This window comes from Homo sapiens, chromosome 6, assembly GCF_000001405.40.
Source record: "Homo sapiens chromosome 6, GRCh38.p14 Primary Assembly".
Classification (NCBI taxonomy): domain Eukaryota; kingdom Metazoa; phylum Chordata; class Mammalia; order Primates; family Hominidae; genus Homo; species Homo sapiens.
In genome coordinates this window covers 145,585,231-145,607,211 of record NC_000006.12, presented here as the reverse complement: position 1 = coordinate 145,607,211, position 21,981 = coordinate 145,585,231, and the positions used below count along the sequence as shown (strand labels likewise).

The window sequence follows — 21,981 nt, the reverse complement described above, 5'->3', positions numbered from 1 at the left end:
TGTAAAAAGGTAAACTGAGGTATAAAACTTTAACGAGGTTATTTGAGTAAGCAGTGATTCATGAATTAGGCAGCTTTAAACCAGGAGTGGTTTGGAGGCTCAGCTCAGGTAACACAAGGAGAGGCTTTTATAGGGTGAACATGGAAGTAAAGTCAAGAAAATACTTGATTGGTTATAGTTATACAGTTGCCTTATTTGTCTATTCTGCTGAAAAGCTCCTAAATTATATAAATTACTTGTCAGCTTCTGATTGGTTATCCTTAAGTTTAATTTTTCTTTAATATAGGCATTTACAAGAAATAGCTCAAGTTAAGTTTCACTTATGTTTGCAAATCAAGCAAGACTAAGGTTACTTATGAGGTCTAAGTGGCTTTGTCTGCTCAGAGATTCTCTAGGCCCAGTGTCCATTTTAATTTAATTTAACAAAACAAATCTGCCAAAGTATGTCTCTCCTGTTGTTAAGCTGACACCAAATTTCTGCTCTTCCATGAAACATTTCTAGACTAACCAGAGGGGACCTGCATTTTCCCTTACAGAGTACAGGATTCCTGGTGACTCCCATAATTATATATATTGACGACAACTCAAACTACATGCATAGCTTTTTAAATAGAAAAAGAACATTTAAAATATTCAATAAAAAACTATGAAGCAAATATTCATGTTTTAGCATAGCTCAAATGGATTCTAGTTAGCAACTTAGAAATATTTCCCATTTAAAAGTTTAATACAGTATTTAATATTTAAATGTAAAAATAAATATTATAAACAAAAACAAATATTTAATGTTTAAATATAAAAATTTAATATAAAATGTAAATACATGCTTTTAAAAGCATAAATTTTTTATTTATACCAGGGGACTGAGTATTAATTTTCCTATATGTTAAGAAATACTAGTTGGGAAAAAGAATGAAGATGTCTAGAAAAATAAACAGTTAAGAAATGCCATATTAAATTCTATGTGTGTGCTGACTACAAAAGTTTATGCACAGCGCTGAAGTAGCTGAATAGGGAATACAAGAACCATAGCAATTGTGTTTTTTTTCCTTCATGTGGAGTAAAACTTTTCTGGTTTTGTTTATAAATTTCGTTTTCATTGTTTTTCTCTTTGGTGAAATGTGAAATTGCATAATAATTTAACTTTTGCTAAGGGAATTACCAATTGGTGTAAATAAATTTCCATAGCCAGCCACCTGATTGGAGAAATATGCTATAGGATTAAAGGCTAGGAGTTTAATAGCTAGAATTATATATTATTTCTTTAACAATGAACCCAAGATGCAATGAACATTTCCTGTAGTTTTTTGTTCCCCTACAGTTTCTTCCTAACCTTGTTAAATGTGCCATGATTTGATGTATCATTTTTTGAATTATTTCTACTGAGTCTGAAAGCAGACTTTTAATTTCATCTTAACCATGAATTATTTTTATTTTTGATTTTTAATCTTTTAAAGTTTAATTGGCATAAATGTTAAAATATGATATAAAATTTGATACCAAGGAACCCCATTCCTTTTTTGTATCTGGAAAGCAGTGCTGTAAAATGTGTCTTTCTCTGCTTAAGAATATTCTCTTTTGATTGTTAGATTTCCTAAATTACAGTGAGGTTGGTCTACCTCTGAGCCATTTGCATTCCTTTTTGAGATTTACAGTCAGCACAATCATACTCCTACATTTTCCTGCGATTGAATGTCAGAATCAAGAATTCCAGTGTAGCTCTGTTTCAGACAAGAGAGAAGGATAATGGAACAGCCTAAGCTTGGAAGTACACTGTTGTGTTATAGCATCAGGTACAAGAGTGGCATTGAAAGGGCAGTGCCCACGAGTATATTTTTTACTGTTTCTATAAAAGACAGGAACAGAAAAAAATCCTTTAAATACTCAGGTAAGAACATGCTAAGCCAAAGGATGCTTTAGTTACCAAGTATGGCATGTTATAACTCTTATGGAAATTGTTGTTGGAATTTGAATTGCTGAATAATTGTTGTTGCTGTTGGAAACTCTAAGCTGACTCTCAAAGGAAAATAAAATACAAGTTGGCATTTAAAGGCACTTTCTGACTTTTAGGTATAAGTTTTCTTAAATAAGTAGGCCAAAGGATATACAACCTTTCCCTAGCAAAATTTTAATTTAAAATTGCTTTTCTCTTGCTTTTCCATTAAACAATGATTACCCCTCTCCATTAGATATGTTGGCAGTCTAGGCAGGGTGATCTTTAAAGCTTCATGGTCCCTGTTAGTGTTTTTCAATGTTAGATCTTTTTAGCAAACCATCCACATACCTTATATTTTTCACTCTCACAATTGTTTGAAAAGGGAAATTGGAAATAGCTAGAGGTAATATGCTTTATTCTATTTTTATATTGTTGACTAAGGGACATTTTCTGCATGTCAGTGTGAGAAGAAAATACAGCAGCTACTCTCATTTACCCATTCTCCCCTCAGATTGCCTTCGTTTTCTCTTCTATTTCTTTGAAAGATTCCGATTAACTATTTGATTTATGAAACTTATTCTCAGGCTCTGGAGTAAGTGCCACTAACTACTGTACAGTTTTCAGTAAAGTATTGCTCATTAATTATTTAATTTGGAGATTGCAATAAAACTAAATGGGAGAAAGCTTTCATTTATGGGGAAAACATTATTTCATGTTAATAGACTATTTCAAGATACTTTTCTGTGTCTGGGTTGGATTTTCCAGTGGTGGTTTTTTGCAGACTCAATATAAAATGTGCATTTATAAGAGCCAGTGAAAGCTACAACTGAGTCATTCAAATATACATATGTTTTATTCTTTAGTAGAAATCAAATTTGTTAAAAGTGAGACATACTAAATAGTCAAGGTATCCAAACATCTAATATGTTATTTTTCGAGTATGATATTAAATTCCTGAAAGAAACCTTCAGATCTTTGTATATGGTAATATTATCCAGCAGGCATAATAATATTTCTAAAATTCCCAAGAAGGACAAACTACTTTATTTTCTAAAATAATACACTTACATTTTTGGAATTTTTCCACATGGTCCCAAAAGAGCATAAACTTTTTAATGGCTATTCAAGTTGGCTTCACTGAACAAACATTTTATTGTCTATAAATCTGTTGAGCAAAAATCAAATAATAAACACATTTTCATCCTATGTATTTTAATGAAATTTCTTCCCACATCTTCAAATGTACCCCAAAGGCCTTTTGTTTTCATTTAAATTGTTTAAGATATTGTTAGCATTTTGAGATATGAGAATATATTTTGTATTTAGAATCGTATAACTTTTACATGTTACTGGTAAGTATTCTAAGAGATCATCTCTAGAATAGCTTCTTTACAAATAAAAAAACGTGGACTCTCAAAGAAGTTAAGTAAGCCATTTGGGATTCATGGCAGAGATACTAATTTCCAGTTAATGGCATAGATCAGTTCAATAAACATGTGTTGAGTACTTAACAGGAGATTTTTAGATAGTTCAGAAATAATATTGGCCTTCTAAGAGCTTATAATCTAATAGAGTGTGCAGATGCATAAACAGATAATTTCAATAGAATGTGTTAAATGTGGTAATAATGGTAAGTGCAGGGTACAAATATAAAAGAGGAAAGTAGATTCATTTAATAAGCACTTTCATTTTCTTTCAGTTAACATTTATTGAACACCTGCTACATGCCAGGAGATAAGTACCAGTAACTAAAATAGACATAGTCCCTGATCTCAGGATTCTTAATGTTTTGGAAAACAGATGTCAATTAATCACATAAAAATGTGCAATAAAACTGAAATGAGTGCTTTGAAAGAAAGAATGCAGTTCCAGAGCACATACAAAAGAACCTGATGGGCTCAGGGTTCAGGCAAGAATAACTTCTCATCCAATTACTTTGACAATTTGCAGGTTGAAGGGGTCAGGCTCATTTACTTTAACAGTTTTTTTTTTTTTTAATTTAGAGATAACAGATTCTCTTCTAAGTAGTTTAGTTTGTGCAGAAAAAAGAATTTCATAGGTTTGGGGATGTCACAGCCAGAAATGATGCCCAAGTTGCACCACTGGGCGACCTCAGCAGATGCTGTCATTTCCACTGCCAAGCATAGACATTTCAGAGTGCCCTGCCAACTGGGGCAGAGATGCCAGCATGAAGACTCCTGTTATTCTGTCTCTGGACTTGGGATCTCTCTGGCCACTTCATTGAAATGAATTCTAGGAGGAGCCTTACTTCTTCACAGAGCTGTCTTCCAAAATTGATCTCATGAACAGAGGCAGGATTTCCATGAAGCTACTGAGGCTTATGCTGACTTGCGTGGATTCCTTCCAAAACCTCGGGGGTGGTTCAAGTAATGTATTCCTTTGGGTCACACATTTTTGTAAAATGTGGAAAAGTAAGGTATTCCAATCTCAATAAGTTAAGACTGCTGTTTTCTTCTATTTCAGTTTCCCCTCCGTAACACTTTTTCCTATGTCAGATGGTTTTGAAGTGGCCCCAAGAATTTTTGGAATCTAACAGAAAATGAAATTAGGATACTTACTTAGCATTTAATGGGATATGTTTGTGTAGTTTTGAGGCACTCTGGGAGGAATTAAACTAAACTATTGACAACCATCCTGGTATAGGAATGGCTTCCAGAAAAATTCCTGTTGCCCATGGTACTGAGTACTGACTCATCTGGCATTATGACACAAAGCTGCAGGGCCAGAGGCCATACAATATGAATATGTCTTGTAGGGGCACCACCATAGGTGTGTGGGTAATGGAGGAGAACAAGGATTGAATAGGAAGCTAGTCTGGGGCAAATTCTTCCAGTCATTAGATCTATAATATTGTAAGCAGATGATCTGGTTATCATCAATGTCAAGTCAAAAGGAAAGTTTTCTCTTATTAGATATACACTTCATAATGTGACATGTATAATTATCAATGCAACAAATATATTTTTCTTGTATTGATGGGAATCCATGAACTAGAATGTATTAAGATTAATAAATATTAATAAAGTTGACCTATGGCAGTACTACAAACAGTAAGCACATTTGTGTGTGAATGTTGTATACATCCCAAATAAATAAAAAACAAATATTGATCTAACTTATCAATGGGAAGACTAAAATACATTTTAATTTTTAAATAGAAAATAAGAAAATAATATATTCCCATGAAGAAGCAAAGAGAATTCATGTAACACGGGAAAGAGAGCATTTATACAGGTATGACAAGAAGTCATTTAATTAAAAATGTATGTTAGTAATTTGTCAACTTTTTCAAATTTATAATTAATTGTAATTCCTTTTCTCATTTTAAATAAATATATTTTGTGCATTACTTTGTATTTGTAATGTATTCTTTTTCTTAAAAGAGGCGCCTATAATTGTATAAGCTTTAGTTCACACAATACCTGGATTCATCCCTCATGAGAGTATACCTGATTGGCAAAAAGAGGTCACATGACTAGTTTCTACTTGCACGGAAGCTGGGAAAGAAAGTTTCAGTTTCTACTTTGAAGAGGTGCATATTAGCCACACAGAAGGATAAATGTTTCCTTTAATATTCCATGATGTACAACACTCTAAATAGGCCTTGCCATCATGCTGATATTATGCTTTGAACATCGTAAGTTAATAAGGTCTGGGGAGCAAGAAGCATTACAAAACACTTAGTTGGGAAATGCACATACACACACAGAACAAAGGAATGAATATTCCTATTTAGATATCTGGTAATCCTTTAAGACCTGTAAGTTCTTCCCTAAGAGTAGATTCCCAATAGAAATCTGATTAAATTCACTCCAATCCCTAAATTCTAAAACCCTGCTGTACTACTACCACCACTGTCACGTTCTTATTTTTATATTTGTAGAAAAGTCCCAATGAATACCTGGCCAAAACAACATCAAAAACAAAAACAACACACACAAACAAATAAATAAAAAGGGGAAAAACAACAGGTGAAGTGGATTCTGAGAGGTATGGTCACCATAGGTCTGTAGATAAAGTGATAATAAAAAGGTTATACCTTATATTATTCAGGGTTTAATCAAAAGACAGAAATCCCACATAGCCATATCAACAGGAAAAATCTAATATAAATAAGTGTTAATAATAACAGAGAATTGCTACTAAAAAGTCAACAAAACTCTAATAAATAAAGGGATAACAGATATGGTAGCAGCCCTGCCTCTAGGGCTAAGGCAGAGCCTCCAAGTAAGGAGCAAGTCTGGAAGATCCCATCATCTGCCTCCCCCCAACCTGGGGAGAGATTCAGATCTCATTGGAAAGGGTACAGCCATGACCCTCTGGACAGTGGAGACTTTGTTAAAGTGCTGTCAGAACTCTGTGCCCTCTGAGGGACAGGTGAAGCCATCCATGAAAGACACTCTGCTGAAGAAATCATTGAGAAGCCACCTGCTTGGATATTGTCCTGGGTAATGGCCCTCTAGGTTGTCAGGATAAACTGCCTAAAGGAAGTCCTGTGCTTCAGGTTGCTGGGGAGCCAACTGAGAAGGCATCACCAAACTCCAGGAGGAAAGCACCTCCTTCAGTGTCTCTCCAGCACCTTTTACTGTTAAAGCTTAATATCAAGGCAACTGGTGAGGGAAAAATATCCTAGTGTCACAAACAGACGAAGGGTTGATTGGAACTGAGAAGCAATAAGTTGATAACTGGTACACACTCCTAAGCAACTACCATTGCCAGTAACCTACAAATCAGGCAGATATTGCAAAACTCAGGAGAAAATAACTGAAAAGATAGGAAAACAATGGCTTAGTGTTCTTTGAAAGGACAGCACTTTAGGCGGATTAACAGTGGTGTGAGGGGGTGGAAGGACAGACTGGGAGATGACCAGTGAAAAACTCTGCTATCATTGTATGTAGGGAATCCTAGTTTTCTAATGTTGGAAATAAGAGAGAACTAGGTAGGGATGGTACCAAGAACTCTGTTAGAAACCTTGCAGGGGACTGAGATCTAGCCAAACCCACCTGAAACAATAAATACAGAGAAGATGATATCACAGTGAATGTAAAAAGATAAAAATGGAAATAACAAGTGGAAAAATTAGAAATAAGAAAATAATATTGTTACTATTTTCAGATGATATGGCTGTCCACATGAAAAATAAGACAGAATATAAAGAAACCTAGAAAAATTGAGAGTTCAATGATGTTGCCAATTATTAGATCAACAGGTAAAATTCAATATCATTTTTATATCCAGAAATGACATGTTAGAAAATACAATTTAAAAGGAGACAAAACTTTATAACATAAACTATTATTTGCCCAGAAATTAATCTGCCAAAGAAATATACTTGTAATTTATGAAGAAAAATGTAACAGTGTTCAATTTTTGATTAAAGAATATAGAGGGAAATTTGTGTAAATGGAGAAACATACAATGTTTACAGATGATAGTTTATTTTTAATACTTAAGTGATCCATTAAAAAGAAATTTACCCACTCAATTGTCCTAGATAAAATCCATGCTCAAAGGACTCTAATTATATATGTAAAGCAGAATCTAATGAGATTTTTAGTTTTTTATTCTTAAATATATGCAAATAACTAAGGATGTTCATATATAGAAGATTCCAATATATAAGAAAAAGACCAAAACATACAGAAGCAGAATTATAACCAATATTTTTAAAAGATCAAATTATTGTATCCACCCAAAAAGAAGAGAATGCTATAAAGAAGAATTAATCAGAAAAAATAGAATGATCTTTTAAAGATATGACAGATGAAATTAAAAATTCAATGATGGGCTTGCAAGATAAAAGTTAAAGAAGTCTTCCACTAAGCAGAACAAAGAGAATAAAGAAGGACAATAATAAAGAAAAGAAAAAAAACTTTAGAGTATTAATAAAAGAAGTACAGTAACTAATTAGTAGAAATTACCTAAAGGGAGCACAGAATAAACATTGAGGAAGAAATTATGAAAGACATAGTAAAAGAAAATTATTCAAAACTGAGAGACATACATTTTCAGATTATAAAAGCCCACTGAATCAATATCATTAACATGATTATACTGCCTAAAGCAATTTATAGATTCAATGCTATTCCTACCAAACTACCAATGACGTACTTCACAGAACTAGAACAAAACTATCTTAAAATTCATGTAAAACTGGAAAAATAGCCCGAATAGCCAAGGCAATCCTAAGCAAAAAGAACAAAGCTAGAGACATCATGTTACCTGACTTCAGACTGTACTACAGGGCTACAGTAACCAAAACAGCATTGTAATACTATTAAAACAGGAATGTAGACCAGTGAAACAGAATAGAGATCCCAGAAGTAAGGCTGCACACCTACAACTTTCTGATCTTCAGCAAAGCTGATAAAAACAAGCAATGGGGAAAGGATTTACTATTCAATAAATTATTCTGGGGTAACTTGTTAGCCATATGCAGAAGTTTGAAACTAGACCCCTTCCCTACACCATATTCAAAAATCGACTCAAGATGGAGTAAAGACTTAATTGTAAAAGCCAAAATTATAAAATCCTGTACAACAACCTAGGCAATACCATCCTGGACATAGGAACAGGCAAAGATTTTATGACAAAGCCACCAAAAGCTATTGCAAGAAAGGCAAAAAATTGACAACTGGGATCTAATTAAACTTAAGAGTTTCTGTACAGCAAAAGAAACTATCAACAGAGTAAACAGACAACCTAGAGAATGAGAGAAAATATTTGCAAACTATGCATCTAACAAAGGTCTAATATCCATCAGATATTATCTTTTACTATCTTATAGATATTATCTATGAAGAACTTAAACAAATTTACAAGAGAAAAACAACCTACCCCATTAAAAAGTAGGCAAATGACATGAACAGACACTTTTCAAAAGAAGACATACATAGGGCCAACAAACATATGAAATAAAGCTCAACGTCACTGATCATTAGGGAAATGTATATCAAAACCACAGTGAGATACCATCTCACACCAGTCAGAATGGCTATTAAAAAAAAGTCAAAAAATAACAGATGCTGGTGAGGTTGTAGAGAAAAGGGAACACTTATACATTGTTAGTGGGAGTATAGATTAGTTCAGCCATTATGGAAAGCAGTATGATTATTTCTCAAAGAGCTAAAAACAAAACTACCATGAGACCCAGCAATCCCATTACTTGTATATACACAGAGGAATACAAATCATTCTACCATAAAGACACATGCATGTGAATGTTCATTGCAGCACTATTTGCAATAGCAAAGACATGGAATCAACCTAACTGCCCATCAGTGACAGACTGGATGAAGAAAATGTGGTACATACATACCACGGAATACTATGCAGTCATAAAAAAGAATGAGATTATGTCGTTTGCAGAAACATGCCTGGAGTTGGAGGCAATTATCCTTAACAAACTAATGCAGGAAAAGAAAACTAAATACTGCATGTTCTCATTTATAAGTGGGAGCTAAATGATGAGAACTCAGGAACACAAAGAAGGGAACAACAGACACTGGGGCCTTCTTGAGGGTGAAAGGAAAGAGAGGAGTGGAAAAAGTAACTGTTGGGTACTAGGCTTAGTACCTGAATGATGAAATAATCTGTACAACACATCCCCATGACATGTGTTTATCTATGTAACAAACCTTCACATGTACCCCCAAACCTAAAAGAAAAGTTAAAAAAACAAGAAGCCCACTGATTATGCAACACAAAAAAATTAGAAAAGAGCCATATCACAACCTTTAATCATGATTTCAGATAGTGTAAAACTTACCAAAAAAAAGAAAAAAAAATAAACAGGTCACATACAAAGGATCTGAAATAATAATAGCATCTCAAAATCATAATTTGAAACTAGAAATCAATGAAGCAATCTTCTATTGGGAAAATAATTATAGGCTTAGCCAAATTGACCAGCAATGTAAGTGTAGAAGAAGATATTTTCAGAATCATAAAGTCTCTAAGAATTTATCTCCTTTGCAGCATCTCTTGGGAACATGATAAAGAATGTACTTCCATCAAAACAAGTGAATAAACCAGAATGAAGAAGGTATAAGATCTCGGAGAGGCCGGGCGCGGTGGCTCACGCCTGTAATCCCAGCACTTTGGGAGGCCGAGGCGGGTGGATCATGAGGTCAGGAGATCGAGACCATCCTGGCTAACAAGGTGAAACCCCGTCTCTACTAAAAATACAAAAAATTAGCCAGGCGCGGTGGCGGGCGCCTGTAGTCCCAGCTACTCGGGAGGCTGAGGCAGGAGAATGGCGTGAACCCGGGAAGCGGAGCTTGCAGTGAGCCGAGATTGCGCCACTGCAGTCCGCAGTCCGGCCTGGGCGACAGAGCGAGACTCCGTCTCAAAAAAAAAAAAAAAAAAAAAAAAAAAAGATCTCGGAGAGAGCATATACAACGTAGAAGAAAGTAAAGAGTAGGAAGGCCTAGGATGAGTGTGTTGAAGGCTTAGAGAGAATCTAGTCCAAATGATAGCAGAATGTGAGAGAGTCCCACGAAGGGTGTGGATATATCAAGAACTAATGAACTATCAGTGTGACAGAGTAGAAAATTATATGGAGAGATGTTTTTACAAAATGTGGGAGGTGTAGGAAGCCATTAATAGAAAATAAAGGTGTAGGAGGCCATTAAGGAAAATAAAGTAAATGAACTAAAAAAGAAATATATGACTCCAGGAAGAACCAAAAGAAGGGGAATTAAATTATAATATACTCAAGAGTACAGAGTTATAATGACAAAAATATTCTGTTTACATATATGTTATAAAACTTACATTATACTAATACTGGGAAAATGGGTAAAGGAACCATAAGAGATTTTCATCTAACAGAATAATCAGCAGAAACTGTAATATTATTGACAATATGTATTAGATGCATATTGTTTAGAGATCTGGAGGGAACTCTCCAAAACAATAGTGGAAGAAGTAGAAGGTGGTTGCTTCTGGGAAGTTAGCAAATTTTATTCAGCAACATATAAAAGCAGTACAAAATTACAAATTGCACAATTACCTATCATACAAACATATTTCATCAGGAAATCTAATAGTGTAGTTTAGCAAAGTGTAAAAATTAGTTGTCAATCACAATAAACACTAATAAACATTTGATTAATCACAAGTATTACTGATATGATAATACGTAGTCTTGGAACATAAAGATACAAACATACTTCCTTGACTTTTAAGGAATATTGTTAGTTGTTTAGGACTTTTAAATTTCCAATGATTTTACTGTTTTGGGTTAACATTTTGTTACTAACATCTATTTTTATTGCTCTGTGTTCTGGAGGCCAGAAATCAGCAGCCAACATTATTCATCACTGGGGTGTTTCCATTGACATCAGAATGCTGACAAGGATGCACACTATTGTTGTCATTATTGCACATTGTTCTGAAAATGCTAGCCAAGACATTAAAGATAAGAAAATGAGAAAAAAATAAAGTATAAAATCCTTTGTAAAAGAAGGCATGTTATTATTATTTGCTATAATATCACTATCTATTTCAAAAAAAATTCTCTGGAAAATAATGAGCTGAAAGGTGACATTTCAAAATCAATATGCAAAAACAGTAGCTTTGCTCTCTTTTGAGAATCATAATTGGCTAAACCCTCCCATATATATAATTTAAAAGAGCAATGAAACCATGAAATAAAAAATATAAAATAGATATATCCTTGTCTATTTGAAATGAATAGACAAAGTCTATGAAAAGAGTGTGTAAAGATGTTAATTCTGTCTAAACTGCAATTAAATTTAAAATCAATATAAATTTTTTCTGAGAATTTGATTAAATTAAAAGGATAAAGCAATCTGAGTTGCTATAAGTTTTTTTTTTTTAAGTAAAAGATAGCACATAGTAGAAATATCTATTCCTATAGTATGTCTTCTTGGAGAATAGGCCTCTATCATTATGTAATGCCCCTCTTTAGCCATGATCATTTTCATTGTTCTGAAGTTTGCATGGCTTTTTATATTTAAAGCAAGATGGTTCTGATTTCAGAGCAGAAGGTCATATCAAAAGAATAAAATAGAGAATACAAAATAGACCCCAGAATTTTTAATTAACAATACACTTGAAAACTAAAGCCAGTGGGGAGATAGACAAATTATAGTTCCAAGATAACAAATGATTAAAAAAAGAGACAGATCTCTGCTAATCTTAGAATGAATTCCAGATTACAAAGGACTAGAAGAAAAACATTTTAAAAAGTATGGCCTAAGGTCTGATACCATGAATTAAATATTTAGATTTTTAACTACTAAAAGTTAAGAAAAAAAAATTGGGACAAAAACATCAAAAAAGGGTGAAAAGACAAATGTTACAGAAGAAAGTTCAGTTATAAAATAATAAAATCTTTATAAATCCTCACTATGTAAACCATTAAAAAAACCTAATGGGAAATTAAACATGGTAATTCACTAGGGAACATGTATAATGGCTTAAATAGCTGTCCTAAATTCTTGTGATGGAAATAAAAATTAAATTGGCTGTTCTGTAAATAATTTTTAAAATATTCATTGAAATTCTTCAAAGTGTACATACCTTTTTATCTGGCAATTCTAATTCTAGGAATATTTCTTTAAAAATAATTGAGTAAAAGTATTTTTAAAATGTATATACAAAGATATTGATTCAACTTTGTTATGGTGTAGAATTTTTTGTATATTATTGCATTAAATTTGCTAATATTTTACTGTATATATTTTTTTAATGTCTGTGCATGAGAGATATTGGCCTGTGATTTTTCTTTCTTGTAATATCTATCGAGTTCCAGCATTAAGCTAATGTGGCATCTTAGAATGAGTTAGGAAGTATTCTCCCTGCTTGTATCTTCTGGAAGACGTTATGGGAAATTAGTATCATTTCTTACTGTAATACTCAGGATAATTTACCAATGAACAAGTTTAAATTCTACCAATTCTTTCAATAAGAAATGAACCTTATATTTTTTTTCTTGAGGGTTTATTATTGATTTAATTTTTTAAATAGATTTTTAATAGCTACATATTAAGGATATTCAGAATATCCATTTCTCCTTGTGTGAGCTTTGGTATTTTATGTCTTTTAAGGTACTGGCCCATTTCATCTAAGTTATCAAATCTGTGGGCCTAGAGTTGTTTTTTCAGAATTCCTTTCTTATGCTTTTAGTAGCCATGGATCAGTAATAACAACATATTTAAAAAACTTATATTGGTAATTTGTGTTCTCTTTTTCACTCTCTCTCTAAGCTATCCTGGCTAGAGTTTTATTATTTTATTTATATTTTCAAAGAATCAGCTTTTGTTGTTTTTTTCTATTGTTTTATATTTTAATTTCTTTGATTTTCGCTTTAGTTTGTATTATTTCCATTCTTCTGATGACTTTAGGCTTAAATCATTCTTCTTTCTCTGCTTTCCTAAGGTGAAAGTTTAGATTACGTATTTTAGGTCTTTCTTTTTTCTAATAATATGCATTTAATGATGCTAAAAATTTTCATCTAAGCACTGCTTTTGATACTTCCTGTAGATTTTGATAAGTTTTAGAGTAAAGTAACTTAATTTCTCTGGAGAATTTTTTCTTTGGCCCATATGTTATTTAGCAGTGAGTTGTTTAGTCTTTCAATATTTGGGAATTCCAAGCTCTGTTTCTGTTGCTAAATTCTAGTTACATCCATTTTGTTCTGAAAACATACTTTATATAATTTTTATGTTCAAAAAATTTGTTAAGGTGTGTTTTATGGCCTGGAACATGATCTGTCATGGTGAATGTTTTATGTAATATGAGAAGAATTTGTATAATGTGGCTGTTGAATGAAGAATTCTGTAAATATCAACTAGAGCGAGTTGATTCACAGTGTTGTTCAGATCAAAAAAATCCTTACTGATGTTCTGCCTGCTTGATTTATCAATTACTGAAAAGGTGTGTTGAAGTAGATGTGCCTATTTCTTCTTGCAGTTTACCAGTTTTAGTCTCATTATTTTGATGCTGTGTTGTTATGTACATACAAATTAAATTGTCATGTCTTCTTGGAGAATAGGCCTTTATCATTATGTAATGTCCTCCTTTATCCTTGAAAATTTTTCTTGTTCTGAAGTTTGCTTTGTTTGAAATTAATATATACTCTTTAGCTTTCTTTTATTTATTGTTGGTATGGTAAATCTTTTTCATCCCCTTGCTTTGACCTAACTGACTTTTTATATTTAAAGTGAGTTTCTTGAATACAGTGTATAGTTGGGTCTTGTTTTTATCTATATTGACAATCTCTGTCTTTTAATTGGTGTGTTTAGATTATTTATATTTAAAGTGATTATTGATATGGTTGAATTAATATCTGCTATATTTGTTATTGTTTTCTATTTATTACAGCTTGTTATTTATATCTTTTACCTTCTTTTTGTGCTTTCCTTCTTTTTATTTGAGGCTTTATTATTATTATTCCATTGTTATCTCCTCTCTTAATGTATCATTATGCTTCTTTAAAAAAGCTTTTTTGGTGGTTGTCCTAGGGTTTAAAATATGCATTTCTTGCCCATCATCACTGGCCATCAGAGAAATGCAAATCAAAACCACAATGAGATACCATCCCACACCAGTTAGAATGGTGATCATTAAAAAGTCAGGAAACAACAGGTACTGGAGAGGATATGGAGAAATAGGAACACTTTTACACTTGTTGGTGGGACTGTAAACTAGTTCAACCATTGTAGAACTAGAAATACCATTTGACGCAGCCATCCCATTACTGGGTATATACCCAAAGGATTATAAATCATGCTGCTATAAAGACACATGCACAAGTATGTTTATTGTGGCACTATTCACAATAGCAAAGACTTGGAACCAACCCAAATGTCCAACAGTGATAGACTGGATTAAGAAAATGTGGCACATATAAACCATGGAATACTTTGCAGCCATAAAAAAGGATGAGTTCATGTCCTTTGTAGGGACATGGATGAAGCCGGAAGCCATCATTCTGAGCAGACTATGGCAAGGACAGAAAACCAAACACCGCATGTTCTCACTCATAGGTGGGAATTGAACAATGAGAACACTTGGACACAGGGTGGGGAACATCACACACCTGGGCCTGTCATGGGGTGGGGGGAGGGGGGAGGGATAGCATTAGGAGATATACCTAATGTAAATGACGAGTTAACGGGTGCAGCACACCAACATGGCACATGTATACATATGTAACAAACCTGCACTTTGTGCACATGTACCCTACAACTTAAAGTATAATTTTAAAAAAATACAATAAAATGTGCATTTCTAATGAATATAAACTTACCTTCAAATAACATTATACAGTCTCAGGTGTAGTATAGGTATTTTATAACAGAATATTCCCAGTTTCTTTTTTCCATCCTTATAATATTAATTTTACCTTTTTCATTTGCTTTACTCATCTAGTATATTGTTACTATTATTAATAAAATAAAAATAGTTATCTTTTAAAACAACTAAAAATTTGTAACAAAATATTTTATTTTACCTTAACAAATGTATCTCTTCCTTTCTTTATATAGATCTGAATTTCTGACTTAGGTCATTTTCTTTCTTTCTGAAGAGCTTCTTTTAACGTTTCTTACGGTGCAGGTCTGCTGCTGCTGAATTACCTGCTTTTTGCCTGATAAAGTGTTTCTCCTTCACTTTTTAAAGATAATTTTGTTGAATGTAGAGTTCTAAGTTGGTGATTTGTTCTTTCAACACTTTAAATACTTTACTGCACTCTTTTTGTTGGTTTGTGATGAGAGTTTCCTGTAATTCTTGTTTTTGTTTTTCTATAGGTAAAGTTATTTCCTCCCCTTGGCTTATTTTAGTAATTTCTCTTTGTCTTTGGGTTTCTAGAGTTGAAGATGATCTGTCTACATGTAGGCATTTTGCTATTTAGCCCTGTTTTATGATTTCTGACCGTCCTTGATGTATGATTTGATGTCTGTCATTAATTCCAGAAATTTTCTCAACCATTGTAACTTCCAATAGTTTTTTTTATTTATTTTGCCTTTCTTCTCCTTCCTGTATTCCAAATATGTCTATGTTATACCTTTTGAAATTTGCTATAGTTCTTGACATCTTATTCTTTTTTTATTCTTTTAATCTTTGCATTTCAGTTCAGCTCACTGATTCTTTCCTTGGCTGTGCCCAATCTACTGATGGACCCACCAAAAACATTCTTCATTTCTATTAGTGTTTTTTACTTCCAGCATTTCTTTTTGATCTTTTCATAGAGTTCTTATCTCTCTGCTTATGTTATTCACCTATTCTAGCAAGTTATTAACTTTTTCCATTAGATTTCTTAACATTTTAATCATAAATATTTAAAATTTTCTGTTTGATATTTCAAAATCTGTGCCATATCTTAGTCTGGCTTCGATGCTAGGTTAAACTTTTTATACTGTTTTTTTCTTATTTGTCTTTTAGTATGCCTGTTATTATTATGATTTTTTGAAGCTGAGCATGATGTATTGGGTAAAAGGAACTGTGGTAAATGGGCCTTTAGTGTGAGGTTTTATATTAATCTGACCAGGAGGTAGGATGTATTTCATGTTTGCTGTACGTGCCAGAGACTTCAGATTCCTCTAATGTCCTTGTTCTGGTCTCTCCTGTTATCTTCAGAATTCCCTAAGAAGTTTACCTTAAGTCAGTGGCTTGCAGCTCTTTAATGTGCAATCTATTATTATTATATAGGGACCCTGTAGATGTGGCAGTTAGGTATGGGGAAGGGGAAGTAATCTATAATCTTATGGTTAAATTTCAGTCTTTTATTGGGCCTGTGGGCCTGTATTATTGGCTTGTGAATGGCACAATTTTCTTTTTTTTTATTTTTCAGTTTTTGCCCTCCATTTAAGTGAGATACGAAGGCTAGAGGGTGCTGGAGGAGAATAAGTGCCCTTTCCCCAGGTGTATTAGGCTCTGGTAAAATCTTTTTCTTGTTATGTAGAATAGTTGGTATATTTAAAAATGGCTACTCCCCTCTTCCCCTGACAGAATTGTGAGGGGAGTTTCTCTTGGCTCTTGACCATGAGAACCTGTTGAGATTCCTAGAGGTAAAACCCACAAAAGTGTGAAGATTTTCCCAAGACTGTGGCCTGTAGGAGTTTCTCATTCTCATGGTAGTCTATACTTAGTCTACAGCAAGTTGTCAAAATTAGTGTTTAAGTATTTCTATAATTTGTAGCTCCAGAAACTCCTGCTGTGGGTAAATAGAGCTTGGCAATATTTCTCTGTATTCTGTTGTCTTTCTAGAATTTGTGTGGTGGTTTACCCTATGACCTCGATTCTCTGAAGAGATTGTTGATTTTCAGATTGTTTAGTTTTAAAAATTCTTATCTTAAGGATGGGAGTATTCTTTCTTTTTTTTCTTTTTTTTTTTTTAACCTCTGAACTTTTCATTGGCCTCCTGCTCCCCAAAGGGTACCCTGCTTCTGCTGGCTTAATGCTTCAGAACTTTGGTGTCATTGGTCTCAGATACCACTTTGCTATCCACTCTCCGGCTGCTGGTGGTCTTTTGGATGGTTTGCATGCAGTGGCTGCTATACAGGGCATCACCAAGATTGAGGTCCTCGCCATCTTCCAGATATTATTAATCTTTTCATTCATACACTTGATCCTCTTTTGGCTTAACATTAAACAATTGGTAAAACTCAGACCCTTCACTAGTTTTTAAATGAAATCTAATTCAACTCACCATTTTATTATTATTTTCTTTTTCTTAGTTTTGTAGTCTCTACTTAAGATTTACAGAGGCATTGGAAAGATGACAGTGACACACTGCACACCATGTCTTCAGACAAATTCTCATTAAACACGTCTTTCACAAAATCCCTCTGTCTGATTGCTACCTCAGATAATCTACTTCTTTATCATCCCCAATATACCTTGTGCACATTCCCCAGCAATGATACTCAGCCCATTTCAATAAAAATGGAAACATTTTTATTTTTATTAAAAATAAAATACTTTATAAGTAAAGTAACCAGGCCATACTTTCCTAATGAACAGCCTCTTCCAAGTAGCTCTAATCCATTCACACCCTTTGGCAATGGTGAACTGCTTCTGTAAATCAGCTCCAGATGGCTCAGACATTCCAGCAACTTGGGCTGCTTCTAGAGAACAGCACTGTCCCTTTCTTTCTGGCAAGATTATTTGTCACCAGCAAGCTTTGTTCCTGTCATAGACGAATATTTTGGAAGAGATCTAGATCACAGCCAGGGTTGGGGCAGGGCCTTTTCCTAGTTATCAGTTCCTTTATTTTCCACTTTTCCTCAGCCTGGGGGTAGTAGCTTCTCTTGCTTGTGCCATGCCTGGACCTCTTAGAATCCTCTTCCATAACTTTTAGTAGTTCTACCTTCTACTAGTTAAAAACTCCTTATAGTAAAGTTCCCCTGCTCAAATAACCATGTGTTCTCTCCATTCCTATGGGCTTGATTTGTTTGGCACAACATATTGTTCTTGAATCTTCACCTGTTTCCCTTTTATAGTGAAATTTTAAGTTTATAGACTATAAAACATAAGTCACAAACTATACTTTAATCATTTTAAACTCTTCAACGTCTTGCACTGTTCTTGGCATGTAGTAAGTGCTCAAAAATAGTTTGAATGAATAATGCTGATGATTTTATATTGACAAAATGGGAGTGTTTTTATACAATGCATGTATGGCTCAAAGGAAAAAACAACATAGAACAATGAGTGCTGATTAATGTGATTTTTTCTAAACTTTCATACTTTAACATTTTTCTTAACACTTTTCCCAAATTTCAATTACCTTTGAATTAATTTTTGAATTAGTAATGAAAATTGGAGTCAGGTTTTCTGAAGGACATTTCTCAAAAATGACTTAATTCTCCCAAGTTAAACATGTTCCAAATGAAGAATTTCAATTCTCTTCTCTAATGAATTAATCCATGAATTGTATGATTTGTCCATTCTTGTTAAATGAAGAATAAACAGGCCTCTAAAGTAAATCTAACTTATTTCCCTACAGTATTCATGGTTTTCATTAGGTTCTTTCCAATATTAAAGAATGTTAAACCACAATATTATATTTTTCCCAGATGATAAACATATCAATACCATATTCAATGAGGTTTACAAAATCCTGTATTTGGAAATAAAGGCACATTATTGGGACATTCCAGGCATCTGTGTAATTCATTCTGGTTCATCAGAGACATATACTCTGAGGTTTTTGGTGTTCATTGTCAGCAATTGATAAGTGTGTCCTTTATAAATTTTGCAAAAGAATGAAAGATAATTGAATCTGTAAGTACTTTCCCACTCTACTGTCTGATTCGTACATGCATAATATTAATTCAGAAGTTTTGTTTATAAGGTTTCACCAACATAAAATCTTCATTTCCAAATCTCATCAGTTGAGTTATTGAGAATAAGATAAATTTATTTAGAAAAATGGCATGCCTTTCAAGGTTTTAGATATTTTGTTATGTTTCATAAAGCACTAAAAGTTTCTTTAACCCAAATTCTTGTTATTTTCCCTTTTGGAAAAGATAGACAAATTAGGTTAAGTGAAAATTCTGCTCAGTAATGAAAATTGGAATATATGAATTGGTTATGTAATTTGTGTGATACATTGCAAGGAATTATAAATCATGTTCTGGCCCTTCCTTCACCTGTTTGAGAAAATGAGTCCCTTCTGTCCTCAATTTGCTGTACTGACAGAAATCTTATCTCCAGAAGTCAAGGAACAGCTGTTTACTAATGGATCACAGCAGGAGAATAAACACAGCAGTCTGGGCAGAGAATATTTTTCACTCTTCTGCAACTTGTTTCTCAATATTTTGTCCTCTGTTGTGGATTATAAAGTGTGTTTGTGAGAGTAAACATCAGGCAATCACTCTTCCTCTTCCTGCATGAGGAATAACACTTCAAGGCATATTAGTAATTCATATATTCTGAACCATTTGCAACAGAGTTCTTTATTGAATAAAATGAGTACAAAATAGAAACATGTTTTTGGTTTACTTTTCTAATTAATAAAAAAACACAACATGTTAGGATGACAATGCTTCTTTCAAATGAGGCATCTCCAATTTGCCTGTTTTTATGTTCTGTTATATTATGTTATTACCAATTACTGAATGCCTTCTATAATTACATGGCTATTGTAACAGTCTAGGTGACATATAATGAGTGAACTCTGAGGAACAGTGAATGGAATGAATGGAATAAAAATATTTCAAGAGGATAAGAGTTTTCAAGGGTTTCAAACATTTCAATGAGGTCATATATAAAAGGAAATGAAAAAATCTAACAACAGTCATTGAATTTGGCAATTAGTAGATTTGGGTAACATTGCCATCAGGTTGGGAGCTATAATATGAGGAATAAGAATTGATCATCAGTTACTTTTTTAAGGAGATTGCCGGTAAGGACCATCAGAAATCATGTGAGGTTTCGTTTTAAGTAGAGTAAGCAGAATGCATTTTTTTGGGTTGAAGACATATCTACAATTATCCCTTTTTTAATTTCTAAAATTATCTGTTTGCAAGTTAGGTTAGGGTTGTGGAGGATGCTTGGAAACTACTATTAACTAAATAGGAAGGATCGTTTTGGGGAACACCATAAAGATCTAAATGAAGGCATGCGTCTTTGAGTTTGTGTATAACTTACCCATATCACTTTACCTTCAAATATAGTGGTATTCACTGCTCTTTTCTTTCATTTTAATGATGCTCAAAAAAATAGATACCTTGGCTATAGATTCAATGATACAGAAAATTAATATAAATTAAAAGGATAAACAGTTCTAAAAAGATATTTTGATATTGACAGTATCCTGCTATTAAACCTGTATGTTGCTTACTTATTCCATATGGCAAGCCCCTATTCTAAGCACCAAAGTTTATCTCAAATATTTGAAAGAATATGATTTCTAAGGTCATAATGATAAAAAAAAGACGTTAAATTCTTTTTTACAGAAGAGCTGTGAAGATGGTATAACAGGAAAAATACCATCTCACATTAAGCAAGCAAAACACTAGACAAAATATATGGAAAAGTGATTTTCAAGATACAACATCAAGCAATAATCCCCTAAGGGATGAGAAGCAAATGACTTGAGCCCATTGACTACTGCAGTTTACCAATTTAAGAGAGTTTCTAGGCTGTAACCCGGGAAGGTAGAACCCAGGTGAAGCCTAGGAGACTCCTTGAGTTGAAGAGATGAAGCTGAAGCTGAGGGCCCAGGTTGACCAAAAGAGCTAGAGTTTATGGGACAGTGGACTAGAAAGGTAAGACTACAGTGAGAGATAAAACTAGATGTGAAAATTCCCAGTCACAAGACTGGAGTAGTTCCTGTTTCTAGGAGCCAAACTGGAAAACCTAATAATTCATGAAAAATTGGATAAATACGTAGAAGGGTTTTGCGTCGGGAACAAGGCAAAATTAGCCATAAACTAAAGACTGCTGCAATTTTGGTTAATATATTTTAAACACAATAGCCCAAAAGATCAAACTGTTTCCAAGTAACTTAATTGTATACCAAAACAAAACTCAAAAATATTTATAAATGCACAAAAATATCTGGCACCCAAAGAGATAAAATTTACAGTATCTGATATATAATTAAAATCTATCAGATATACAAAGAAACAGGAAAATATAACCCATAAATAAGACTTCATAATGTTAGATTCAGTAGACAAGGATATTAGAAAAGTTGAGAGAAGGAAGACATAAGAACCTAGATAGACATCTAGAAATGAAAATTATAAAGTGAAATGAAAAATACAATGAATGGTATTCGACATTGCAGAAGAAAAGACTAGTGAACTTGATCATACAACAATAGAAACTTTCTAAAATGAAACTCAGACAGAAAAAAGAAACTGGAAAGAAATGAACATTACTGAGCTGTGAGAAAACTTCAAGAAGCATAATATGCTGGTAATTTCTGTCCCTTAGGAGAGTAAAAAAAATTATTTGAGGAAATAATGACCAAACTTTTTCCAAAGGTGATGAAAACTATAAGTCTACAGATCCAAGAAACTCAATCAACTCTAAACAAAATG

At 33.2% G+C, this 21,981-nt stretch overlaps 1 protein-coding gene across 2 annotated transcripts in view, besides 1 other annotated feature; it reads left to right on the top strand.

Moving 5' to 3' along the window:
• The window catches only part of EPM2A (EPM2A glucan phosphatase, laforin), a 352,671-nt gene that overhangs the window by 128,812 nt on the left and 201,878 nt on the right, over window positions 1–21,981 (top strand). The gene's annotated exons all lie outside the window — the stretch shown is intronic.
• Window positions 6,605–6,899: a silencer, noted in NCBI's record as "tiled region #3301; HepG2 Repressive DNase matched - State 9:DNaseU". NCBI's record gives its function as "represses a minimal TATA promoter and a strong SV40 promoter by Sharpr-MPRA in HepG2 cells {active_cell/tissue: HepG2}" and the evidence as "EXISTENCE:reporter gene assay evidence [ECO:0000049][PMID:27701403]".